At 36.2% G+C, this 25,978-nt stretch overlaps 2 long non-coding RNA genes across 3 annotated transcripts; one reads left to right on the top strand and one right to left on the bottom strand.

Moving 5' to 3' along the window:
• Window positions 1-12,488: 12,488 nt before the first annotated feature.
• LOC105371007 (uncharacterized) lies at window positions 12,489-23,985 on the bottom strand. 2 transcript variants are annotated; one of them, XR_001751696.2, is made up of 7 exons: window positions 23,692-23,985; window positions 20,775-20,851; window positions 20,156-20,303; window positions 17,204-17,365; window positions 16,280-16,371; window positions 16,115-16,188; window positions 12,489-12,645 (listed from the first exon to the last, which is right to left on the bottom strand). It is a non-coding gene; the product is annotated as an uncharacterized LOC105371007 (long non-coding RNA). The 2 variants fall into 2 exon arrangements; XR_007064804.1 differs by lacking the exons at window positions 12,489-12,645; window positions 16,115-16,188; window positions 16,280-16,371; window positions 17,204-17,365 and adding an exon at window positions 19,121-19,730.
• Window positions 17,414-24,828, top strand: LOC101927310 (uncharacterized). The gene is made up of 4 exons (NR_110756.1): window positions 17,414-18,053; window positions 19,014-19,211; window positions 23,610-23,793; window positions 24,454-24,828. It is a non-coding gene; the product is annotated as an uncharacterized LOC101927310 (long non-coding RNA).
• The last annotated feature ends 1,150 nt before the right edge of the window (window positions 24,829-25,978 follow it).

Here is a 25,978-nt window from a genome sequence, read left to right as displayed (position 1 = left end):
CTTTTATACTGTTGGTGGGAATGTAAATTAGTTCAACCATTGTGAAAGACAGTATGGCAATTCCTCAAGGATCTTGAAGTAGAAATACCATTTGATCCAGCAATCCCATTACTGGGTATATACTCCGAGGAATATAAATCATTCTACTATAAAGAAACATGCACATGTATGTTTATTGCAGCACTGTTTGCAATAGCAAAGAGATGGAACCAACCTAAATGCCCATTAATGATAGACTGGATAAAGAAAATGTGCTACATATACACCATGGAATACTATGCAGCCGTAAAAAGGAACTAGATCATGTCCTTTGCAGGGACATGGATGAAGCTGGAAGCCATCATCCTCAGCAAACTAACAAAGGAACAGAAAACAAAACACTGCATGTTCTCACTCATAAGTGGGAGTTGAGCAATGAGAACACATGGACACAGGGAGGGGAGCAAGACACACTGGGGCTTGTTGGGGTGTGGGGGGGAAAGGGGAGGGACCCTAGAGGACAAGTCAACAGGTGCAGCAAACCACCATGGCACACATATACCTACATAACAAACCTGCACATTCTGCACATGTATCCTGGAACTTAAAGTAAAATAAAAAAAAAAAGAACTGTGAGTGTATACACACCTGTGCGCATGCAGACACAAACGCATACGCACACACACACACACACACAGTGTCAAATACAATGTTTTTCTATTTATACCACAGTGGGTGGGAGCATAGCAACCAGTTAACAGTTGCTGTATCTAGATAAGAGAAATATCAGTGACTACAACTTTGATTTTCTCTCCCTCTTACTTTTCCCATGGAAAGCATGCATTATTTAAAAAGGAACTAAAATAGTACTTTCAAAGAGAAATCTTTCTGTTATTAATCCTCTAATCCACATGACTTCTCTAGCTCATTTGCAGACCTACAAAGGAGGCCCTTGGGATACAAAGGTGAGACTCCCATTTCCTGGTGCATTTTATTTGTTCGTGGACACACCTATTCTCTGATGGCAAGCATGTGACTTACAAGCATCCAAATCGTCTGCACAATACAGACCTTGTCCCTATATATAATACTGGGCAAGCTGTTGCTCTATGGACAGCATTTGAGTCTCATTCATATGGCCAGAGACAAATATTTGTTTCTAAAAATGGGAAATGAGATCTTTTTCATTTGAGTGTTTTCATTCATTTACAATAATTCGACCAAATATTTTTGAATACTTTCTACACACCAAAAACCATCCAAACATCTGGGGCATCTGTAGATGAAAGACAGATTTCTGCCTTGGGGAGAGGGAACTCACAATAGGGTTAGGAAGAAAGTCATAAAAGCAGAGATGAAAACAGTGTAATGATTGGTGTGGAGGAGATACGAGTAGGAGGATGGAGTGTACGGGAGCAGGGTCCTCATCTCAGACATTGGTATAAGCTTTGGGGACTTGCTAGTGACTGAAGTCCCCATCTTGTATGTAACATCAGCACTTTCAGAGTACCTTCAATGAGATTCATATTTCATTTCAGGTGATCTTCTCAACATATACCTCAGTTAACATTGTGCGGATGGCTGCCTTCTCCTCTCCTGGAAATATGCAAATTGACAACACATTTGTAGGTCTCACTGGTTTGTATCAGAGTTGGCGTAGAGGTTAGTTTTTACCTGTTGCTCTTTCTTGCTCATGGCCCTTTGGACCTTTTGCAGACTTAATTGTGTCCAGCTGGGTCTACTTTGCCTTTTCCCCAAATTGGACAAAGGAATACTTACCCTGACCCATTTTCAAAGGTTTTACCTTTTCCCTTTGGATTTGTGGGTCAGCAAACCACACCTTCCTTGACTCAGCTCCCAAATTACCTTAATCACCGATAGCATCGAAAGGGTGACCTCCACCCTGCCCTGGCTTCTTTGGTGCCTTTAAATCACACTTGGAGTCATTTAAAACAGTATCAGCAAGCTGTGGTCAATTCCTGACACCAGCTGGAATTCAAACCTTTCATTCCTTACTGGACCAAGGTGTGATTTATAATTAAAAGAGTTCTTTGTCTTCCACTTTCAAACATTTAAAAAAAAATGCTCTTGAACTAACTCTGTCTCTCTCTCTTCCCTGCATCTATTGACTTCAAAATCTAGGGTTTCATCCCCACATCAAATAGTTCTATTGTCACCTCAAAACCTCCATTTCTTCACTCGTAATATAAATAACCATTTATATTTGAGGGAAGAAACAGAGACAACGATGTATAATTTTAAGAGTAACAGACACTAAAAATAAAAATAAACGTAAAAGGATGAAGAGTACTGATTGGTGGTTAGTTTCAGGTCTAAAGGTCAGGGAAGGACACTCTGAGGAGGTGACATTTGGCAAGACACCAAAGAGAGTGAGGGAGTCAGAAAGGAAAATATCTAGAGAAAGAGTGTTCCAGGCACAGAGGATAGCAAGCGTATGTGACTTGACTACGGGAAGCTTGCTTGGTGTGCTCAAGGGACAGCAAGCCAAGAAGTGTGGCTCAAAGGCAGGAGTGAAGGAGGGAAGTAACCAGATCATATGTCACAGCGGCGTACAGCCAAGGGGATGGTTTTGGATTTGGAGATTAAAAGCCATTAAAGTATTTTTAGCAGAAGTTGGGGGTAACATAATTATATTTTCATTTTATTATTGTTTTCTTTTTCTTTTTCTTTCTTTTTTTTTTTTTTTTTTTTTTTTGAGATAGGGTCTCGCTCTGTCACTCAGGATGAAGTGCAGTGGCATGGTCTGGGCTCACTGCAACCTCCCCCTCCCTGGGCTCAAGGAATCCTCCCACCTGAGCCCCCTGAGTAGCTGGGACTACAGGCGCGGCACCACCAAGCCCAGCTAATTTTTAGTGTTTTTTGGTAGAGACAGGGTTTCGCCATGTTGCTCAGGTTCATCTCAAACTAACTCGTGGGCTCAAGCGATCTGCCCACTTGGATTAACATGGACTTGGATGGGGTCCTTGTCGTGACAACCTGAAACAGTTTAATTCAGAACAGGGGTATAAGAGGAAGAAATAATAAAAAACTATGATGCTTTTGTCCTGAGCAATGGAGTGGATGGGGTTGCCATTTACTGAAATAGGTAAAACTAAAGGAAGGTTCATAGGGGAGTGCAAATCAAGAGGTTGGTTTCAGATACCTCATATGTGATAGGATTAACAGATGCCCGATTGGAGATTTTGAGAAGGGAAATATATATGCAAGTTCAGCTTAGGGGGTGATGGTGGAGATGGAAATTTGGATTTTAGTGTATATACCAAATGCTGTGAGGCCATCTGGTAAGACGGGCTCAGAACTTGAAACTTGCCATAGAGGGCTATTGATAACTGCGATAGGCATTTCAAATGAAGTGGTGGAAACAAGCCCAATGGGATTATGTTCTGCCCCAAAGGAAATCTGTGTAGAAACAGGAAGTATGGACAACTAAACTGAGAAATATTGAGATAAAAGAGGAGTCAGAAAATGATGCCCATTCACAAGGCAAAACTTTGCTATATTAAAAAATAGGTGATACAAAAATACAACGTAACATTGTAACAATAAGTAGAAATGTCTGATAGCATTTTTCAGACATTCTGATCACAGGTAGATAAAAATATGCAAAGAAAAGACTCCAGAAAAAAATACCTCCCAAGTATCAATGGTGGTTTTTAAAAATTTTATAGTAGCATTATAGATGTTTGAAAAAAATCTTTATTCTTTTTTGTATATATCTTATCACGCATATATACTACTTTCAATTTTTACTACTTTTTACTAAAATTCATGAATCCATCTCCCTTTTTATATTTAAATTATTGCAGTTCAATTTAATTTGGTCAATAGGTGTAGTCCTCCCTGAAAATATATTCCAGGATTCTCCCCAGATATTCTCATTATGATGGGTTCGGGAAGTATTCAGTTCAGAATTTACTCAATATTTATATCCTATATCTGAGCAAACTTTTCTTTTCTGTGCTCACCTCACTCCTTTCATAGGCATTTTACCCCTTAGTTTATTGTGGAATAAATTTTACAAGTGATAAAAACTTGATAGGGCTTTAGATATTTATTTGTTTAAACTAATTCTTGTATATTCCCTCTTCCATTTTTATTTTTGAGTACATTCTCTTATGGTTATTTCAGAGAAGTTCTATAAATTGTAAGGTTTCTATGTCGGAAAGAAACTTTATTATCCCCTTCAATCTCCAATGATAGTTTGGCTGGTTTGACTGAGTATAGCATGCTAGGTTTGAAATACTCTTTCTCAGAATTTTGATGTCACTTTGCTGGGTTTCTTTACTCCATACTGCTAAGGAGAAATCTGGTGTCAGTCTGACCTCCCTTTCCTTCTAGATAATCTTTCTTTTTCTTCTGGCATCTAAGATTACTTCTTTCAGTATTAGTTTTATAAAACTTGATTTTATTGTTGTCTCAATGTGAGTTTTTGGTTAGCTTGTGATTAAATTTTGTCCACTCAGTACCATGTACTCATTCAACTTGAGGACAGATGATATTTATTTGTTTATGAATATATTTATTATGCAACATTTCTGGGATATTTATTGCTACTGTTTTTTTCAATCTTTTCCTCTCTTCCACTCTCTTGTCACTCAATATACAAACGGTTTTACATAGACATTGAAAATTTGGATCTCTCTTTAAAATATTTAGACCTCATTTTACACATTTATTTCTCTTTAACTTTTTGTGCTGTGTTCTACAAATGTCTCCCAATTTGACCTTCTAGCTCTTCAATTTGCCCTTCATTTTATCTAATTTGCTATTCTGTACATGTAATGTGCTTATTTATACATGTACGACAATTATTACAGGACTAACTTTTCCTCCCCAAATCTCTATTTTGTTCTTTTCACTACTACTGGTACTTGTTTCCTCACATATATTCTTTTATTTTTTTAATGACAATCATAATACCCCCTGTAGCTCCTATTTTAAGATTTTTTTAATATATATTTGCTCTATTACCTTTATTATCCTGGGTATAAGTTATTCTTAATTTTGGATTTTCTATTTCTCTTTCATGCGCATCACCTCTCTCAAATATTTGGTAAATCTTGATTCTATACTCAACTTCTGTGATTGATTGACTTCTGCATATTTCCTGGTCTATGGCAAATACCCATTCTGGGGGAACCTTAGCTTATAGCTATGGCTGGTCAACTGTCTTCTCCAGGTGACGGCTCATGGCTTTATTTTCATTGTGACTGCCTTTTCTTTTTTCAAATTTGTGTATTATTGGCGTGTTTTCCTATCCAGTTTATTATTAGCAAATTTCATATATCTAGTTTATATCTTTTTTACTAATGTTATGAATCGACTCTTAGTATCTTAAAACCTTAAAGAGCTGGACATACCCTTGGCGGGAGGTGGTCTCATCATTGGTTGATTGCTTCCAGCATTTGTTTAGGTACTTCTGGAATTTTGATGGTCTTTATCTCATGATGTCAAGATGGATGCCTCAATCTAGTCTTCCCTTCTGCCCACCAGTATCCTTCACAGGAAACAACAGAGTGAGGACATAACAGGACTCTTCTTCCCAGAAACTTCTTCTCAGACTTCCACTCAGAGGTCACTGGCCAGAAATGATGACATATGGATTCCTTAATTTAAGAGAAACAGAAAAATAAGCATCATCTGCTAAAAGAGAATGGAGTTATACTGACTGGCTGAGGACAATCATGCCCGAGCCACTAGGTCTGGGCAAATTGGGCACTTCCAAAGTGCATCATGAAAGTGCTCTTAAGAAAAACGTGGGGTATGTGGATTCTGGATAAGCAAAGTATCTGCCACACTGAAATCCTTATCTAGTTTCCTAAAATCCTAGATTAGAAAATTCAAACGGCTTCACTTGTGTGATTATTATCTCTGCTATATGCTTCAGAAGAAAATAAAAGTATGTTCATAACGTTCATTTTAAATCTATCAGCATGACTATAAGTTTCTTAACTTCATATAATGTTCATTTTTATTTGGCAGAGGAAAAGGAAAAAAAAACTTTTGATTACGTGGAGAATGATTGTCATAATAAGGGTTCTATAAATGGAGAAATTCTACTCTACCCTTAAGCCTGCCTCCCTTTCCAAAAACAATGGAAAACAAAACAACAACATTTATTCCTAAACATTGGGATATACAATGTTGATAAGGGTGTGCTGAAACAGATACACTCACAAATTGATGGTGTTGGTACAATTATAAAAAGCTTTTAAGAAATCAGCTTGGAATTACAAATTAAAAGCTTTGATTGATGGTGTTTCTGTATTTTGATTCAATCATGTCCTTATTGGGAATTTATGATTAGAACATTTGAAATCCAGGCAAAGTTTTATGCATAAAAATAAAATTATAAAAATGAGGCATCTACAAACTTGAATAATACAAGGTTTTTAAATTATACATATAGAAAATTTTAAAGACATAGATTGTTTTCATAACTAGTAAGTGAAAAATCCAGATACAAAATTATTCATAAAGTATCACCTCATTATGTAAAAGATAATTTGGAGAGACTAAACCCACAATTCTAAATCATTTCTCTCTAGTAATTTCTGCTGGTTTACCTGTATTTTTCTGCTGGTTCTAACATTTCTACTTTAAAGAAAGATGGCTTTGACAAACTGTAAAAGCCAAATAATAATAGCAACCCCAATATCTGTGGCTCTCCCTTGTGAACCACATTACATACTGTAAAATCCTCCCACATTTATTTGGTTTTCCCAACACTGTGAGGATGAAAAGACAAGCATACTTTCTCCATATTCAGTTAAAGAATGTGAGGTTCTTGAGTTAATTTTTTTATACAGTGTAAGGAAGGAACCCAGTTTCAAATTTCTACATATGGCTAGTCAGTTTTCCCAGCACCATTTATTAAATAGCGAATACTTTCCCCATTGCTTGTTTTTGTCAGGTTTGTCAAAGATCAGATGGTTGTAGATGTGCGGTGTTATTTCTGAGGCCTCTGTTCTGTTCCATTGCTCTATACATCTGTTTTGGTAGCAGTACCATGCTGTTTTGGTTACCGTAGCCTTGTAGTATAGTTTGAAGTAAGGTAGTGTGATGCCTCTAGCTTTGTTCTTTTTGCTTAGGATTGTCTTGGCTATTTGGGCTTTTTTTTGATTCCTTATGAACTTAAAAGTAGTTTTTTCCAATTCTGTGAAGAAAGTCAGTGGTATGGGCAAATGGGCAGTGGATGGGCAAAGACTTCATGACTAAAACACCAAAAGCAATGGCAACAAAAGCCAAAATAGACAAATGGGATCTAATTAAACTAAAGAGCTTCTGCACAGCAAAAGAACTATCATCAGAGTGAACAACCTACAGAATGGGAGAAAATTTTTGCAATCTACCCATCTGACAAAGGGCTAATATCCAGAACTACAAAGAACTTAAAAAAATTTACAAGAAAAAAACAAACGACCCCATCAAAAAGCAGGCAAAGTATATGAACAGACACTTCTCAAAAGAAGACATTTATGCAGCCAACATATATATGAAAAAATGCTCATCATCACTGGTCATCAGAGAAATGCAAATCAAAACCACAATGAGATATCATCTCATGCCAGTTAGAATGGAAATCATTAAAAAGTCAGAAAACAACAGATGCTGGAGATGCTCTCTGTTTTTACACTGTTGGTGAGATTGTAAATTAGTTCAACCATTGTGGAAGACAGTGTGGCGATTACTCAAGGGTCTAGAACTAGAAATACCATTTGACTCAGTGATCCCATTACTGGGTATATACGCAAAGGATTATAAATCATGCTACTATAAAGACACATGCATGCGTATGTTTATTGTGGCACTATTCACAATAGCAGAGACTTGGAACCAACCCAAATGTCCATCAATGATAGACTGGATTAAGAAAATGTGGCACTTATACACCATGGAATACTATGCAGCCATAAAAAAGGATGAGTTAATGTCCTTTGTGGGGACATGGATGAAGCTCGAAACCATCATTCTAAGCAAACTATCACAAGGACAGAAAAACCAAACACTGCATGTTCTCACTCATAGGTGGGAGTTGAACAATGAGAACACATGGACACAGGGTGGGGAATATCACACACTGGGTCTTGTTCGGGGCTGGGGGCTGGGGGAGGGATAGCATTAGGAGAAATACCTAATGTAAATGATGGGTTGATGGGTGCAGCAAACCAACGTGGCACATGTATACCTGTTACAAACCTGCATGTTGTGCACATGTACCCTAGAACTTAAAGTATAAAACAAGAAAAAAAAAAAAAAAGAATGTGAGGTTCAGTTGTTCCAGTCATGGTGAGCGACTTCCCCAAGGTTATCTAGCTTGTAAGTAGTGGGACCTCAATTCCTGGTTTCTAGTTCAGTGTTTATTCCACTCATCAAGACGTTTCTTTCCTTTGTATGCAGTGCCTAATTTCTATCTTGAAGAACTCATTGTAGATTACTTGGATTTGGTAGATAATCTGAATTCCACTTCTGGGCTCCAAGTAAACACTCCTGAATAATTCCAGGAGTCCTTCCAGTAACAGCTGAGAAAGATAAGGTTTTCTGTGACAAAATAGCACAGATAATATGGAGTGGGTCCACAGTACCAGGTTTACAATAAATACAGAGGAACACTCCGGGTCGGTGGCCACCCTGAAACCCACTGTGAAGTCATTTGGCAATTTGGAGAAAAGTAAACTGTTGCAGGTCAGAAACACTTTCTTTCTGTCACCGTGACCTTAACAACTGTGTGCTCTATTCTCTCTAAATTGGGCAAAAATTCTCTTCATCTGGCATTCTGGGATGGCATGAGAATTAATCATACTTTTTACTTAAAATTTCTTCTACAAAACAAAAACACCTGTGCATGCAATTAAATATAAGGTTATGAAAGCAATTGTTTTCACTTAGTCTTTGTGATTTAATGACTACCTTATTAGCACATGCCATGTGGGACTACTAGCCCTGTGTAATACATTAATTCAAGAAAATATAACTATAATAACTATATCATGAGTAGAAAAAAGCTCTTGCTGTATTTCATAAAATGAGGAAAAGATAGAAATACAAATAACCAGCAATCATTCTGAATTTTGTTAATTTTCACTATTTTAACTTGAAAATATTTTTAAAAAATAAGTGTCTCATCCCCACTTTTTTTTTATTTTTTATTTTAATTTAATTTAATTTTATTTTATTATTATTATACTTTAAGTTTTAGGGTACATGTGCACAAGAAATGCAAATCAAAACCACAATGAGATACCATCTCACACCACTTAGAATGGCGATCATCCCCACTTCTTTTGAGTCACTGAGAAGGTTAGTTTGTCTTTCACAGCAGGGCTATTAGTAAAAATTCTCAGTGATCTGGCACTTTCAGCATATTTTTCAATCCCAAAACTAATGTAAATTTCATCTATCTAGCAACTTTCTCGTGTCCTTGCCCAGGTGCCCACCTGGGATCCCTCTAAGCACCCTTCATGCACTAGCATAAACGTTGATTTCTCCCTGGAAATTTCCCTGATCTTCCCTTGCTCATACGACCTAGTACTTAATAAACAGTTCATTTAGTGCAATTATCTCATAGTATTATAGTTAATTGCACACACAACTGGTTTTCCTACTGATCGTGAATTCTTTAGTAGCATGGACACTATTTGGGAGCTCTTATTGCTAGGAAAGTTAAAAGAACTTAAAAATTATTATTGAATAAAAATGAATTCAAAGACCCAGTATCTCATACTCTGGTGGGCTCTTCAAAGGGTTTTCTCTCATGAAACATGAGAATATATTAAATAAAAATATTTCAAAATATAGACATGAATATGATCAGAGTTTTTTCTATATTCCAAGGACACGAAATGGAAATTGATTCAGGTTGTTCGTTCCAAGTTAAAATGAACCTCTTTATATTTTAAGAGCAAGCAATGTAATTTTTGTTCCTCAAAAAGTCTAAAGACAACTTAGTCTTTATGAGCTAGTGACTGCTTTAGAAAACCTCAATAATGCATAATGTACATATAGTTTCATCTGCCTATGGAGAGGATTATGACCTAATAGTGGTTCTTAGTGTTGATCGCAGATTGGAATCACCTGGGAGCTATATAAATCACTGATGTCGGGGTCCCACCCAAGTGCTCAGAGGTGTAATAGGTGTGGATGGTTGTGGCTAATAGCTCCCCAGGTGAGACTAATGTGCAGTGGAGGTTGAAAACTCTTGCCTTATAATAAAATAGCATCCAAATGTCATACGAGCCACACCTGGACCCAAAATGGACCCTGCTGATAAATTAGCTTATAGAATCTTGTGAATACCTACGTCTTCTCAAACATTATGGAACTGAAGCTGAGAAGTATACCATCTGCCTCCAAATAAAAATCCCCAACATAAGATAAAACCTTCTCTTACTCCAAGTGTTGAATCATTGGAATACCAACAGATCCAGAGCACAGAGCTAGAGCTGCAGCATGGGAATACCCATGCACATATTATAGACTTAGGACAGGCTGTGATTGACTACCCTGTTACGTCAGTCCTGGGGGTAGTACTTTCTGTATTCATGTGGGTGGATTGTAGACAATTGTCTGGAAACTCCAAAATTCATAATTTCCCATCTAGGAGTTGAAAAAGAAATTCATGTGAGAAATAGGTTCCTTTCTGGCTAGGGCCAAAATATCCAATAGATACTGCAATGAGGAGAAAACAGGGATATATCCAATGACAATTTTAAGTAGCAGCGCATGATTTCTATTTTGCTGTGGTATGCATTTGTTTCATTTCACATCCCCACATCCACACCCACACACATATACCAATAAATCACAATTAAGCAAGTTTGGGAACAAAGAATTAGAATCAGAACACAATGAACTTTTCCCACAAAATCCAGATATGTGTTTTGCTTCTATTTGCAACAAGCTGTGATTCCCATGTGAAAGGTATCAGTGTATTTCCTCTTCCTGTCAATCATGCCAGGAAAACTTCTGGTATGTTGGGTTATGACCTTTCATCCTGGACATGAGCCAAAAGCCACCAGTAATTTGACTGCTGTAATTATTTAGGCTGTTTCTAATAAGCCTAAAAATGTGATGTTAACATTTTTCACATGTTTGTAGGCTTCTGGCTTTCATGCTATACTCAGCATGCCATTATAAGCTTTTGTTTCATTATATTGGAAGAAAATATAATTTTTCAATAGCTGAATTCTGATCATTGTTTACTGCTAGAAAATATCTTGCCTACAGGGCCATAAGATATTATTTCTTTAAAATTTTGGCAATTTTCTCATGTTAGGCCAAACTTTTAACAATAATAAAAATCCATGCAACATAAATTTACTGAGCAGGTACTATGTGCTAGACATTGTACTAGGTTCTGTGAATGAAAAGATAAATAAGACCAAGTTCAGATCCTTAAGTAGATGAACTGGTAAAAATTAAATTAACATTTAATGCAACTAGCAGAGGCACAGAGTTTAAGTTCCAGCTCTATGGATTGTGAGTATGTCACTTTTAAATATGTTATTATTGTATAGACTGGGAAACTGAGGCACAAGTTCACACAGATGCTATGCAGCAGAACTGAGAGCTAGACCTAGGGATTTTGGCTACACACACTGTATGGAACCCATTATGTCATCATGGTTCTGGAGTCTAAGTTGATTCGTTGTTCGGTTTAAACAGAGAAGAATGTTAAATACCATCGTGAGGAAGGGGAAATACATATATTATATATAATATATATAATATAAATATTTAGACACTTTACAAATTTACTTATTTTTTTATTTATTAATTCATATTTTATAATATATATTTTTGTATATATATATATAAATATTTATAATTTTTAAAATATAATTCAGTAGCATGGAAAGAATCACATGACCTTAATCTGAGCCAATGAGTCCCTCTTGTCTCTTTAGAGAAGCTTATCTTCAGGGTCAAATTTCAAATACTAAACATCCTGGAAGACTTCATGCTTCTGAATGCATTTCGTAGAGCCAGGTCTCCATCATAAACATACTCTAGAATGGGTCATCCTGCCTGACTTGGAGACATGGGTAGTCTGGTAGTCATACAGGTAAATATCCTTAGCCTGTCATAAGCAGCACAAAACAAAGTCAATCATTAGGAGTTGGACTCTGCAGTTGAAGGAGTTGGACTCCATTAGTTTGAAAAATATTTATTGAGTGGAAACTGAAAAAAGATGCCAACTGGGTTGTACAAATAAGCAAGGATTCCTGTTTTATTTTTTATTTTTTTTTATCTGCCGCCTTAGTAGAGGTACAAATGGAGAAAAGGTAATGCAGGCAAAGTTGGATGTGCTGTGCAAAGGGAGGCTCAGGGGCCAAGTAAAGACTGGCAAGGAAATTATGCTAAAAGTTGATGTTCTCCTTCAGTTAAGAAAATATAGACATCCAATTGCAACACGAAGTTGAAAAAGGCTGCCACAATTACCATTCTCTTTACATCTTTTTATAAAATCCTTTAAAAGAAAAGAAATAACTAATTAAGACACGTAGATAGTTTAAACACTAGTGCTATTCTCTGGCTCATCCACTTTCTAGCCATGTTATTTTGAGCATGCAAGTTACTTACCTGTGACTCATTTTTCCCTTCTCTGAAATGGAATGAATGATTGTTGTCTAACTTGTAGAGATACTATGCGATAAAACAGAAAAAAAATAAGCTTTTACATATAGAGACTAGCAAACATTGAAAGCTCAATAATTTAGATTTCTTACTGTATTCTTAATATGATCACAAAGAAATGTGGTTTTTTGAGGACACAAATACAAAAACAGAACAAATGCAAGCTATTGACTTTCTCTATGGACAGGCCAAGAGAAGCTAGCGGATTTCTGTGAGATGATTTCAAAGCTACACGCAAAAAAAGGGGGCTTATGAACAAAATGGCCTGTCTTATACGGTGGCCCTTCTAATCATCCTTGGCCCCTACCCTGTGCCCCACGACCCCTACTTATTTCCTCTATTGAAATCTCATAGGTACAATTTTTGTGAGAATGGGTCACTAAAAAAAATGAGTCTAAGTTCAAAGAGACACTTTGGGCCTGAAACAAAAATATAAATTAGCAGAAGGCTCAGACTGTTGCTCCCAGCAACTAATGCAAGGACTGAAAATGCACTTGCCTTAATATTTCAAGTTACTCTTAAAGAGGGTACCAGACGCAATTAAGTTTCCTTGCCTCTTGAGTTTGAATATTTCAAATTTATCTGCAAAAGTGAGTGAGATGACCTAATTGTACCTCTGCTTTTCACTTGAATTTATCTTTTTGAGTGACAGGAGGTTGCTTCTTAGGCAGATGCCTTCCTTTTAATAATTCAGTAATTAGATGCAACGCTGTCAGCTGTGAAATTTCCGACAGCTTTTCAGTGACAACATATTGGAGGATTTTGTCGTCCTCCAAGGTCTTTCTCAGTTGTCTTTAACAGGAAGGACAGAGATACAAGACAGCATCCTCACTCAGGTGTGTGCAAACCCAGGTGTGGAGGTGGCTGAGCATTTACATCCAAATACCTTCATTTCCTCACTTTCAGATCACATTAGCTGTAAAGGGTCAGGTATGGCCTGAGGAAGTGCAAAAGAGTAAAAATAAAATGTCTCATCATCTGTGCACTCTGATTTTGCAGAGAAGTTAACCTATGGTTCATTCAGTGAGCATCACCTTGCTGAAGAAAAGGGAAAGATATTTTAGAACGCCATTGTGTAAATTCTGCCTACACAAAGTTATGGCTTTGGTTTGAATCTCAAAAATTATTTTTGCAAGTAATCTAATTTTTTTCAAGAAGAAACCTACCAAAGAAACAAAAAAAGGTGAAAGGTGCTAACAGCAGCAAACTAATTAGCAAATACAACCCAGCCATTTTGCATTAGCAGACTTAGTCACATTATGTTTTATGTCTTTGTTCATTGGCAAGGACTTCCAGTAGCTTAATACTTCACTCTCAGACCTGCTTTATCAAGAAGACACTGTGTTTTAGAAACTATAAAAGATCATTTAGAGCAGTAACAAATTACTGCTTTTAATAAAATGCTTTTTTCACTCAATAGGATACCGTAAAAAAATAGTCTACAGAGAAGTAGTCTATAGAAAAGGAACATTTTTAGCTTTGAGAAAATAATACTGGGAAAATGATAATGTAGTCATGAATCATGGTACAAAAGAGGATAAAGAGGCTCATTCTCTGACATCTCTCTCTGTGGCTGCCCCATCAACCTGTCGGATCATTCCTTTAGAGTCTCTTTTTACAAGCTCCTCTTTCTCCAAGCTCGATCCTTAAAGCTGGGTTCTACAAAGACCAGTATCTTTGCCATTTGCTCTTTACACAGCATTCCCCAGTGTGGCCCAATCCATTGGTTTCCAAAACTGGACACACGTCAGATTTCCTCAGGGGGCTTTCTAACCATGCAGGTCTTGGCCACCTTACCTGACATGCTGAATATAAACCATGATGGAGTGGGCCAAGGAATCTGTGCTTTTACAAGTTTTTCCAGGTGATGAAAGATCTGAGAATCTAGGTTGAAATTCACTTGCATCACTGAAGCAGCTAGTAGCTATAAAGATCTGTGTTTTTAGCTCTCATTTCCCTTTTAGTAGCAGGCATGGCTGTATAACTGCCTGATAAATGCCTGTGTCTGTAGGTCACTCATATTCTTCACATGCAATGTGCCCGAATCGGCTTCTCCCATAGTATTCATTTGGGCGACCCTTGTATCCGCCCATGCAACTAATACCTTCAACTCTTGTCTCTCCCTCGTCCTCTCTGTACAGTTATCAAGCCGTAAGACATGCCCTCGTTACTCCATTTTACTCTCTCTGTCGTAGTTTAGGATTTCCTTACTTAAATTTTTCCTGTACTAGAGTGGCAATGACCAAGTCAAGAACTGCTGATGGGTGGGATGTGAGGAGACAGTGAAGGCAGGGAGCCAAGAAAGGCGCTAAGAATTTTGCCTTAAGCAGCTGGGGATACTGGCACCCTTTATGGATATGACTAAGCCTGGGACGGAAAAGTGTCCTACAGAAGAATAAAAATTCAAATATTGGACATATTAACTTTGAGATGCCTATGACATGTCCCAGTTGAGATGCCTATGACATATCCCAGTTGAGATGTCAAGTAGGCAATTTTATATATACATATACATATACGTATACACATACATATACATATACATATATGACTTCAGATCTCTTGGGAGGTGCTTAGGAGATATAAACTTGGGTGTCCCCTGCAAACAGATGACATTTAAAGCAGTGAGAAGGGAAGAGACTATCAGAAGAAGAGAAGAGGGGGGTGGCCAAATTTTTGAGAATGGCAAGCAATTTTCCAGGCTTTTACTGCTCACCCTAATCCATCACCTATGTTCCAGCCACATCAAATCATTCTCTATGCCCCAGATAAATACAGGCAGTGGGGAGCCAGATGTACTATCCCAGACTGATTCTTCCTGTATCTGCCCATTGCAACTTCTACTCTATTGCAAAGAGCCCTAAGCCCCAAATAGGAGGTGAATTACCTCGTCACCATATCTGAACATGGGATTGCTCTTCTTTGAAAGGACTCAGAAAAACATCTTAGCCTTAGACTTGTGCCTCTAAATTACTCCAAGTTCCTCCCAGCCCCAGCAAGCTTTCTCATTCTGTTTGTTGCAACGTTCTTTAGGTTTCAATGGCTTACAGTAAACCTCTGTAGTCAGTCCCCAGAGCTTCTCTAGGGATATGCTGAAAGATGTTCCTTGGGATTTAGAAATCGTTTATTAATTCAACAAAGCTAGGCTTTTAATATCATGAACTTAAAAACAAAGTTAGTTTGAAATTCTAGCTGAGCAATGACTTCTTTGTCCTAGATGGCATCTGAAATCCTCCTGAAACAATTAATGCCATTGATCCAGTGAGTGAGAAACATCAGTGCAAAATGATTGGCAATGAAGGAAAAATACATTGTTTTCAATTTCACCCCCCTCCCCATCTACTTTCTCTCTCTTCCAGACCTTTGCACCTTTGAAGAGCACATTTGTTTTCATGAAACTGCTCTCCACTCCTCTTCCCAGGAAGTGGGTTGTCGGTTTTCTGTGTGGAGCTGCCCCCGGGAAGAAAGCCTTGCTCACCCTCTGAGATATTGTTGAGCCTCATCTAGGTTGAGCAGACACCCATCTTCTAATGCAGGGCAGAAATAAATTATCTGAAATGAACAACGAGTGTTTGTCAAGCAGAGACAGCAAAAGTAGCATGGCCATAGAAATCCTTCCCACCTGGATTGCAGGCGTACTTACTTTGGAACCCATTGTGTGTGAGTTTGTATTTGTCCACAATGCCTTTACCCATAAGAATTTCAGTTGTCAGATCTATTCCTGTTGGCTATAACCTGAAAAGGGAAGTGAGAATTGAGAATAAAAAGGCTGGGGTTGGGGGTGGGCAGAGGCAGAGAAGATGGCTGAGGTGAAGCCAGATATTTTTGCTTTTATTTTTTTCAAAGAAGCCTTAGGCAAAATGATACTGAGGGGGTGAAATTTAAATTTTAACACCATTGTCTCTTAAGAAGGGAGCTGAAACACACATATTTATTATGAGCCAAAACAAAGTACTTTGTCATAAGTTTATCATGAGTAAAATTGAGACCATATAACCTTGCATGTTGAGTTGGTTAAATACTCAAGCTAGTTCTTGATTCTGAGACCACAGTCACACACACACACACACACACACACACACACATACACACCCCCACATGCAACAGGCCCAAAGTGGAGAGAATGAAACTCAGAAAACTTGTTGTACATACTTACATACTATGGGACAAACAAAATTTATAAGTATTAAAAATGCTAAAAGTTTAGGTCCTCAAACTATTTCAAGAAATTAATGAAGATAAGTCATATTATTTGTTCTAAATATATTTATTCAGACAGAATTATAAAATATAACAGGCATTATGTCGTAGACTGGCCAGATGTTTTGTTTTAGTTATATTTTCTCTGCATTCATAAATCTATATAGTCAGTCTCAGAGCTACGGCATGTGCAAAAGACAAAGTTTAACGGAACAGCCTAATTAAAAAGAAACTCCTTATTTTACTCACAGGGCATCAGAATATGAAGTACTTAGAAACATTAAAAAAAAATCTCCTTTTTCTGGCTGTTCATCTTTCTTTGATCCCAGAGTTACTCTAGCACGTCTTTTCTCAGGTCATTACTTACCAAATTCTCTCCTTAACTCCCCACCTTCTTCCTCTCCACATGATTCCTCTTTCTCTCTATTCTTCCCCTTGAAACTGTCATTACTTTATGGCTTGTAGTGCTAGGTCATTTCCTTGACATTCTTCAGTCCCTTTCTTCTTTGACTTTCTTGGTCTCTAAGTTCTGCGTCATAAAAATTCAAAGAACAGAACCTTGACAATAACGTTCTGTACTTATCAAGCTGAACATATCCTTAATCAGACCACAGTGCTTGGAGCACAATGGGCCCTTAAAAATGGGGACAAGAGGGAAGAAGAAAGGAAGGCTGGGGCAAGCAAAAAGGAGAGCCAGATTTCTTTGTCAAGTTTTAAAAGTATCGCTGTACGGAAATTTTACAGAAGAAATTTTGAACACCACAGATTTTTGCCTTTTGAGTTATTATTTGCATTAACGTAATATTAACAGGGCAACAATGTTTTTCGATTTATCATGTGGTTAAGCAAATTGTTAAACACATTTGATTACCGAAAACAGGGAATATGGTAGAAGATCAAAGACATGCCAGAAATTTTTATTTTATGTGGGACACTCGGAATTTAGTTGAGCCTGACAGAGTCCTGCTGGCTAACACCAAGGAGAGACTATTGCTGGCCCCATGCAAGTGGCTGGAATAATGGAAGTCAAGAAGGAAATCTCCACATGGTCGACACTTTGAAGTTGGTCATAGATAGGAAGTTAGAACAAACTCCAGTGGGTGAGGGGTCATGAGTTTACCAGGAGAAGGTAACTTAAGACTGAATGAACAAAAAGAATTTGTGGTCACACGAAAATAAGGAGCAAAACTTCAGGAACAGTCTGAGATAACAAGAAGGTTGGTCCCCCAGGGCTCAGTCTTATGTCCCCAGTGCCATTTGACTTTTTGAAACCAAGTCTCGCTCCATCGCCCAGGCTGAAGTGCAGTGGCATGATCTCGGCTCACTGCAACCTCCAACCCCCAGGTTCAAGCGATTCTTCTGACTCAGCCTCCCAAGTAGCTGGGACTACAGGAGTGTGTCACCATGTCCAGCTAATTTTTATATTTTTAGCAGAGATGGGGTTTCACCATATTGGCCAGGATTGTCTCAAACTCCTGACCTCATGATCTGCCCACCTCGGCCTCCCAAAGCCATTTGACTTTTATTTCAGGTATAAACATATGTTTATACATCATAATAAATAAATAATATAAGTTATTTATTTCACATATGTTTATACCGAAGTAAAAGTCAAATACATTTCCTGAAAAGAATAGTGGGTCCTTGTCACCCAGAAGATGTAGAAGTGGTATGGCAGGAGAAATTCCTATTGCCTGTGTTAATTAATTGTTGCTTTACTTCTAGTGCAACAAGTGAAGTACTTCTTCTTTGTCTAAATATTCAGATAGACTTTATATTGCCTATTTGCTCTTCATTCCCAGAATTTCTTAGATTAGAGTAAGGGTGCTGATGGGTATTACAATCTTACAAATCAAGTTTAAGATTATGGGCACTGTGGAGTTCACATGTAAATGAGAGTTGCTTAACATGCCTCAGTGACAGTGAAACATAGAGGTGTTGCCTAGATTTGAAAATATTTCCGCAAATTATATACTGTTTTGTCATGAGCGCTTACTAAATATCTGCATACATTTGTGTGTGTTCTTTTATGACCACCTCAATGGCTTCTGTTGTACTTGTTATTTGCTGTCTTTACTATCTTTGCCACGTGTATGTATGACATGTTAGCCATTACTGAGTTGACAGACACTCCCAAATCTGTACATAAATGCAATCTCCAACCTTTTCCTCTATAGCTTTATTTCCAATATATGGGTCCCATCCCATTGTAACACTAATTGAGAACTTCCCGTCTGGAGGAAAGAAGAGAATGAATGACATGCAACATTGGACCCTAAACAGAACCAATGACAAACCTGTGAGCTCACAAGCACACTTCTGGAGAACCTGGCTACCAGAGAAGTGTTACTTCCAAGCTGTAAAATCACTCAGCAGTAAGTCCGATAACCCAGACTTGATTTCCTCTCTTCACTTCATTCCTTTGCTCGCACTGTTCCTGGGGATTGAAATGTTCTTTCATGCTCTCTTTACCGCATTAACTCCTGGTCATTCTTAGACCCCTTTTACATAAAATTCTTGTATGTGTTCTTCCTTGTGTCAATATCCTCATATTGAATATTTGATTCTTCCAGTGTGTAGTAGCTAGTCCCTCTGTCACTCCAAAGAAGTACATGTCTTCTTCTCCAGAACTTGTGAATATATTACCTTACATGGCTAAGGGAATTCAGGTAGCAGATGGAAGCAAGGTTGCCAATCAGCTGATGTTAAAATGAAAAGATTACCCTGGATTTTCTGGGTGAGTCCAGTTTAATCAGAGGGTCCTTAAATGGTGAAAGGGGAGGCAGAGGAGTTGGAACCAGAGAAATGCATCATAAGAAAGATTTTCGCAGAATTGCTAGATTTGAAGATGGAGGAAGGGGCCACAGCCAGAGAATGGAGGCAGGCTTTAGAATCTGAAAAAGGCAAGGTAACAGATTAGGTTTAGTCTCCAGAAAGGAATGCAGACCTCTATCACCTTGGTTTTAACTTGTGAGACTCAGGTTTGACTGCTGACATCCAGAACTCTAAGAGGATAAATGTGTATTGTTTTAAGCCACTAAATTTGTGGTAATTTGTTACAGCAGCAAAGGGAAACTAGTACACTGTCTGTGGATAAAGACCATTCCAAAGGGTTTGCTTGTATGTTTCTTCCACTAGGCTGGGAGCTTCCTAAGGTCAGAAACCAGGTATCGTTCAGTCCTATACCCCTAAAGACCTATTATAATATGTAATTAATTCCTGAGTAAGAAGAGACATAGACAAGAGAGAGGAAAGTCAAAATTCTAACTGTATGTTTAAATCTGTGATCCACAAATACTCTTCTTACAGGCTAAACTACCTGAGAGTATCATCTGTGGCTTGTGTGGTTGTCAAAATGGTGAACAGCAATCTTCTCAATAGTGGTTTGGCTCCTCTGTTCCTCATGAGCCCAAATGATTTACCTTCCAAAAATCACCAAGAAGATAAGGCTCAAACCAGCTGCATAGCTAGAAGGATTTGAGAAAATACAATTACGGGATAAGACCAAAGCCATACTCTAGGATAAATCATAGCAACCAGTGATTTTATTCTTCAAAAAGAGAAATAATATCAAATATTGCAAAAATATTAAGAAGAAAAACAAAAAATAGGAGGACAGTAAAGAAAAAGAAAATATTATCAAAACCAAATATAGATATATGCCACTGATCAATAAATAAAAGTTTTTAGCCTATAGAGCCAATCAAAGAGACAAGACTTAAAGCATAGATAAGCAAAATTAATTGAGAGAAAGGCTGTAATGCTGAGTCTTTGGGGAATTGAAAAGCTAGGTAAAGAAGGGATTAAGAAGGTATTGAACAACCAGAAAAGATCAATGAACATAAAACAAATTTAAAAAATATTTTCAAATTTTATAAAATATAGGTTCTAGGACCATGAATTATTTTAGACTTCCATGGAATATATAATTTTCATACCATTTAAGTTGTCTGTAACAAATATGGAGAAATTCAAAAACCATTTCCTGAAGCTGGCACAATCTTGTTCTGAAAACCTGAGGGATGACATGAAAAGACAACTATGTATTATTATATCTTATAAGAGTAAACTACAAAAATTCTAGGAAAAATACCAATTCTCCTACAACTACCACTACCATTGTTACATTATTTATTGTGTTCTTGTTATCTGACAGACAATGGGTTAAGAATGCTTTATCTCAGATAATTTTTATATCCACCTGTTAGTAGATGTCATTATTATTCCCATTTTACAGAAGACAGCTAAATGTTAACAATATTAAATAAATGATTCAAGGTTACAAACAAACAAGGAAAGAGCAAGATGTTAATATAGATTTTTCAAACACCAGAGCCATTCAATAATAATAATATTGTAAAATAATCATCATTGAAAATAAACAGTGGTGATCCCAGGAATATTTAAGAGGCTTCATATGGGTAAACACATACATACCTAAAGACCAAACAAAAGCTATGAGAACCTCAACAGAAGCCAAAATCCATAGACTTTATCACCAACTTATAATAATAAATAAGTAAAACAAAAGAAAGCAAAAAGCTATACACAGAAAAATGAAACTCCTATTCAAAACCTACTACTTTAAGAAAAACATAACGTTCTTAACATAAATGCATAGAAATACCAGCCAATATAACGTATTAAATGGATGAAATTTTTAAAAATTTCCATCAGTCAGAAACATAACTATAATACATACTACATGTTAATTACTGAATTTTTTCATAACTTCTAGTCAATATGCTAATATATTAAGTAGAAATGTTTACAAGGTATAGTAGAAAGAGACAAAAAACGCCCTCATGATTTGAAAATAATTTGATAATGTACCTAACGATTCTTTGGAAAGCAACTGAAACACTAAGAGCTAACAGCATTTTGTAAAGCAACAGGATAATTGGTAAGTACAGAAAAATCAATATCTTTTGTATAAGTTCTCAATACAAATCCAAAGAATTAGAAAAAAAATGTAAGATTGCACAGGAGTCTGAAACACATAAGATACTTAGAGCTAACCTAAGCTGAAATATATGTAAACACGGTTAAATAATAGAACCTTACAAAGAGAGACAAAAGAAGCTTTAATAAATGATATATATGTATATAAATACACATGCATATACATATATACTGATGTTCCTGTATTTCAAATTAGTTTATAGGTTTAATTCAATTTCTGATAGAGTGTTCTAAAACTTGTAAAATCATTTTAATCTAGAAGAATAAATAGATGAAAATAAGTAAGACATTTGAAAAAGTACAGTAATAGAAGCATACTTACTTTACAATATATTAAAATATAAAACCACAATAATTAAAATGAGAAGTTATCAGGGAATATATATTTTGAATTATTTTTAAAAAGGGTTTATGATTCTAAAGTAGAGGTATTTCTGTCTGCTTGTGTGTGTACGTGTGTGTGTGTGTTTCAACCTGCAATATAATAGTGAAAGCATTTCAAATACATGGAAAAGTGACCTATTATTCTAAGATTCATCTTACAAACATCAAATATTATTTCCAAAGTAAGTTAAATATTTGTATTGCAGTGATACATGGAGTAATTCTTCCACTAACCTGAGACTTAAGAGAAATTGTGTTATTTAGTCTCAGGATAGAGAAATAATTGCTAATATATAAAACAAGTGGAAAAAGTACAGATAGTATACAAATATATACAATTTTATTATTTTACATAACCCTAAGAAAAAAATGACACAAATGACAAAATGGGAAACATATTTACAGTAAACCAAAAACAATAATATTATTTATATTCAGAGAGTTACTAAAAACCAGTGCACAAAATTGTCAACATTCTAACTGAATATCCAAAAGATATTACAGAAACTTTGCATATGAAGGGCTGTAAGTGTTCAATAAACAATTGTTTAATGAATATATTTTCAACTGAACAGTAGATTAAAGAGGAAACAGGTTAAAAAAAGAGTGCAATAACTTTTTTATTTCCTAACAAAAGGGCAATGATACATAAAATTATTTAATAATACTTGTCCAGATATGGTTGTCTTATCTATAGGTGGAAGTGTAAATTATCAAAAATATCTTCAAAGCAATTTTTAAAACTATTGTCAAAAGGTCAAGAGCCAAGAATATACATGCATTTTGATTTAGTAATTCTATTTTTATAAATTTACCTTCCTGAAATAAGCAGCATGCTTACAAACTTTATACACAGGATGTGTATTATATAGTGTTATCCTTATAAGAGCAAAAAATGTTAGCAATTTACATGTATAAACGTATAATGGGTTTTATGCAATAAATAAATGAAAGCTTGAAGGAATATTTTCTGCACAGAAACGTTACTCAATATAATTTTAACTTAAAAAAGTAGCATGATCCCGATTTGGCATATATTATATATATGCAATGAAAAAGCTACAAGGAAGTATGCTGTATAATTAATAGTAGTTATCTCTGGTTGATAAGAGAAGAAAATTTTACTTTTATATTTTCTTTTTTAAAAAAATTTAATGCAATCTTTTTCATTAGCTTTATATGAAAACATACACACATATATTTCTAAACAAACCACTGAAAACTCTATTACTAATATTAATTGCTAAAATAATGAATCAAAAATTAGAAATTTAATTTTGGCACATATTTTAATAAGAATCATTCATATTCTCTATTTCCCTCCCAATTCCTCAAATAGAATTAAATAGGATAGTAAAGAAATATACAAACTAAAATTTGTACTATCAATTTGTGAGTTCTAGCAGACTTTTCACTTTTACTTCTAGGTCCCTGCAACTGATGCAACCTTTACTTTAAGAGAATAGGAGGACATCATGTTCATAAAGAAACCTTGGATCTCGAACGTACCTAAAAAGCAGCTTAAAGTCCTTGGAGCAAACAGTACAGCTGAGAAATGTTACACCAGTTGGGTGTCAATCCATAAAACCCGTTCTAGAGAAAATCGTGGAGGTAAAAATAAAGGAGGAAGAGTATAGGGCAGGATGGTAGCTTTACAAATGAGTATAACACCTGAATGGAAAAAAAAATTAAAAAGACCTTCTTGGTAGTTGGAATTATTTGTTTAAAATGTTACTGTGTAAGAAAGAACAAGTCATTCTGAGATTTGAGCATTATGTTCAGTTCTTTTTCAGATGGTGCCCAGTTTAACTCAGTTGAGGTCTTAGACGCTGAAAGTATTTGAATTTAGAAGGAATGAAGAAAACAATTCAAAATTTACAAAACCTCACACCCATTAGAAAATATGGCACATGTTTCTCTCATTCAGTCTAGCACCCCTTTTTTTTCTCATTGCATCTCAAATTTCCCAGTTGGTCTTGGATTCTTATAATGATAGTAGGCATACAGGGAAAACGTAGAAAATCGGTAATTTAGGCAGGAAGTGGAATTTTCAGTTTGTGTTTTCTAGCTTCTCCCTCATTTAAGTAAGTTGTTAATGTTTAATGACATAACTGTGACTCTGAAGTTCAGCAGTCACAGAGAAATTCGACTGAAGAAAAAGAACTTTGGAATATTTTTCTTTGTCACTTCCTTGAAGAGTGTTTCAAAGATTAGGGGCCTATGTACTTTGCTTTTCTCCAAGTTATAATAAAGATTATTTCGTTTTTGCAGATGTTTAAAGACATGAAGGCAAAGACAAATTTTTCAACCAGAACCCTCAAGAAATGTCACTTCTCTGTCTTGCCAAGAGAGATCCAGCATTTTTTCTACATAAACATCTGCTGGAAACATTTTAAAGGGAGGCATTTTAAATAATGACGTTTATAGCTTCTTGGTCTTTAATAAGTCTGAAAAAGAAGAAAAATGAATTTGTGATACATTCCTTCCCAAAGCAACTTTTCTTCACTGATATGCATCATATTAGATGATCTAAAAGCGAAAATATTAACATTATGTTGGGGGAAAATGATTAAGAACATTTCTCTGAACTGTCTGTATCAATCATACCTGAGAGTCAGTCATAAATCACAGGTTCCTTAAACTCCAGAAACTCCATCAGTTCATTGTTTCGCCTCTTGTTTGTGGCAATTATACTACATTTATATTTACATAATAATTGGATTTTCTATTAAATTAAACAAAAAACCTCTCAAAAAAGAGAGTCAGGGAACCATAACTTAGCTATACAACCTGAACAATGCAAACTCATTTGTAGTTAGAATGGAAACTTCATCTTGTACAAACTAACACGGATGTTTGGGGATAATTCTCTGTAGGAAATGCAAGATATATTGCCAGGCTCTTTAAGGTTCCATGGAAAAGACACACACACATTGCCTTTGGTAATAGGTGTTTATTGCAAAGATACACAAAGATGTAATTTAGCAAGAAATGTTATCTCATAGTTACTTTGGGTTTCACTGTTCTAAAGAATCAAGTGTACTGCAGGCATCATGAAGAAGTGAGAAAATGGCTTGGCACCTTTCAGATTACAAACTAAGCTCAAATGATATGTCTGTTTTTCCTTTACCCAGCATTTTAACTTCCCCAAACAACTGATTTGATTGACAGCTTTGCCACCATCAAAAACCTATTGTCATGAATTTCACCCAAGTCAGCTCAGGGTACTTATGCACTAGTACTTAAGTAAAAGGTTGTTTCTCTTGACACATGGAGTTCAAGCAATTAATGACCAGTTCAATGAAGTGCTGGTTTTGGTCCTTTTAGAAATTAGCAATGGCCATGGCTGAAACAATTTTCCTGGAGTTCTTCTGCAGCATGTTCAATAAATTAGATAAAATGGAAAAAAGTGCATAAGGCAAGGATTCAGTATGTATGCCTTCAAATGAAGACAGGTTATCACCTGAAAATAGCTTTGGAGACTGACAGTATACTGAAAAACATTATTAGTAATTACTACTTTTAGGATGGTGGAGTAAGATCCTCCATCAAAACATGAGTTTCCTAAACTCTGACATCAGCCTCCAAACCACATACACCCATCCAATGAAACAGGTAAAAATCTGTCTGGCTACTAGGTGTTAAATGCAGCCTTTGAGGAATAAGTATCTTATATGAACCAGGGACAACACGTAACTAATCAGGTGTCAAGATGCAGACATGGGTTAAAATTTGAGCAGGAACAGCAGAAATTTAATGCTATAATGGAAATAGACTATAGAATTACTTCACCAAA

Source organism: Homo sapiens, chromosome 15 (assembly GCF_000001405.40).
Source record: "Homo sapiens chromosome 15, GRCh38.p14 Primary Assembly".
Taxonomy (NCBI): Eukaryota; Metazoa; Chordata; class Mammalia; order Primates; family Hominidae; genus Homo; species Homo sapiens.
Note: the sequence above shows the minus strand (reverse complement) of the source record. Positions and strands in the feature narration are given on the sequence as shown.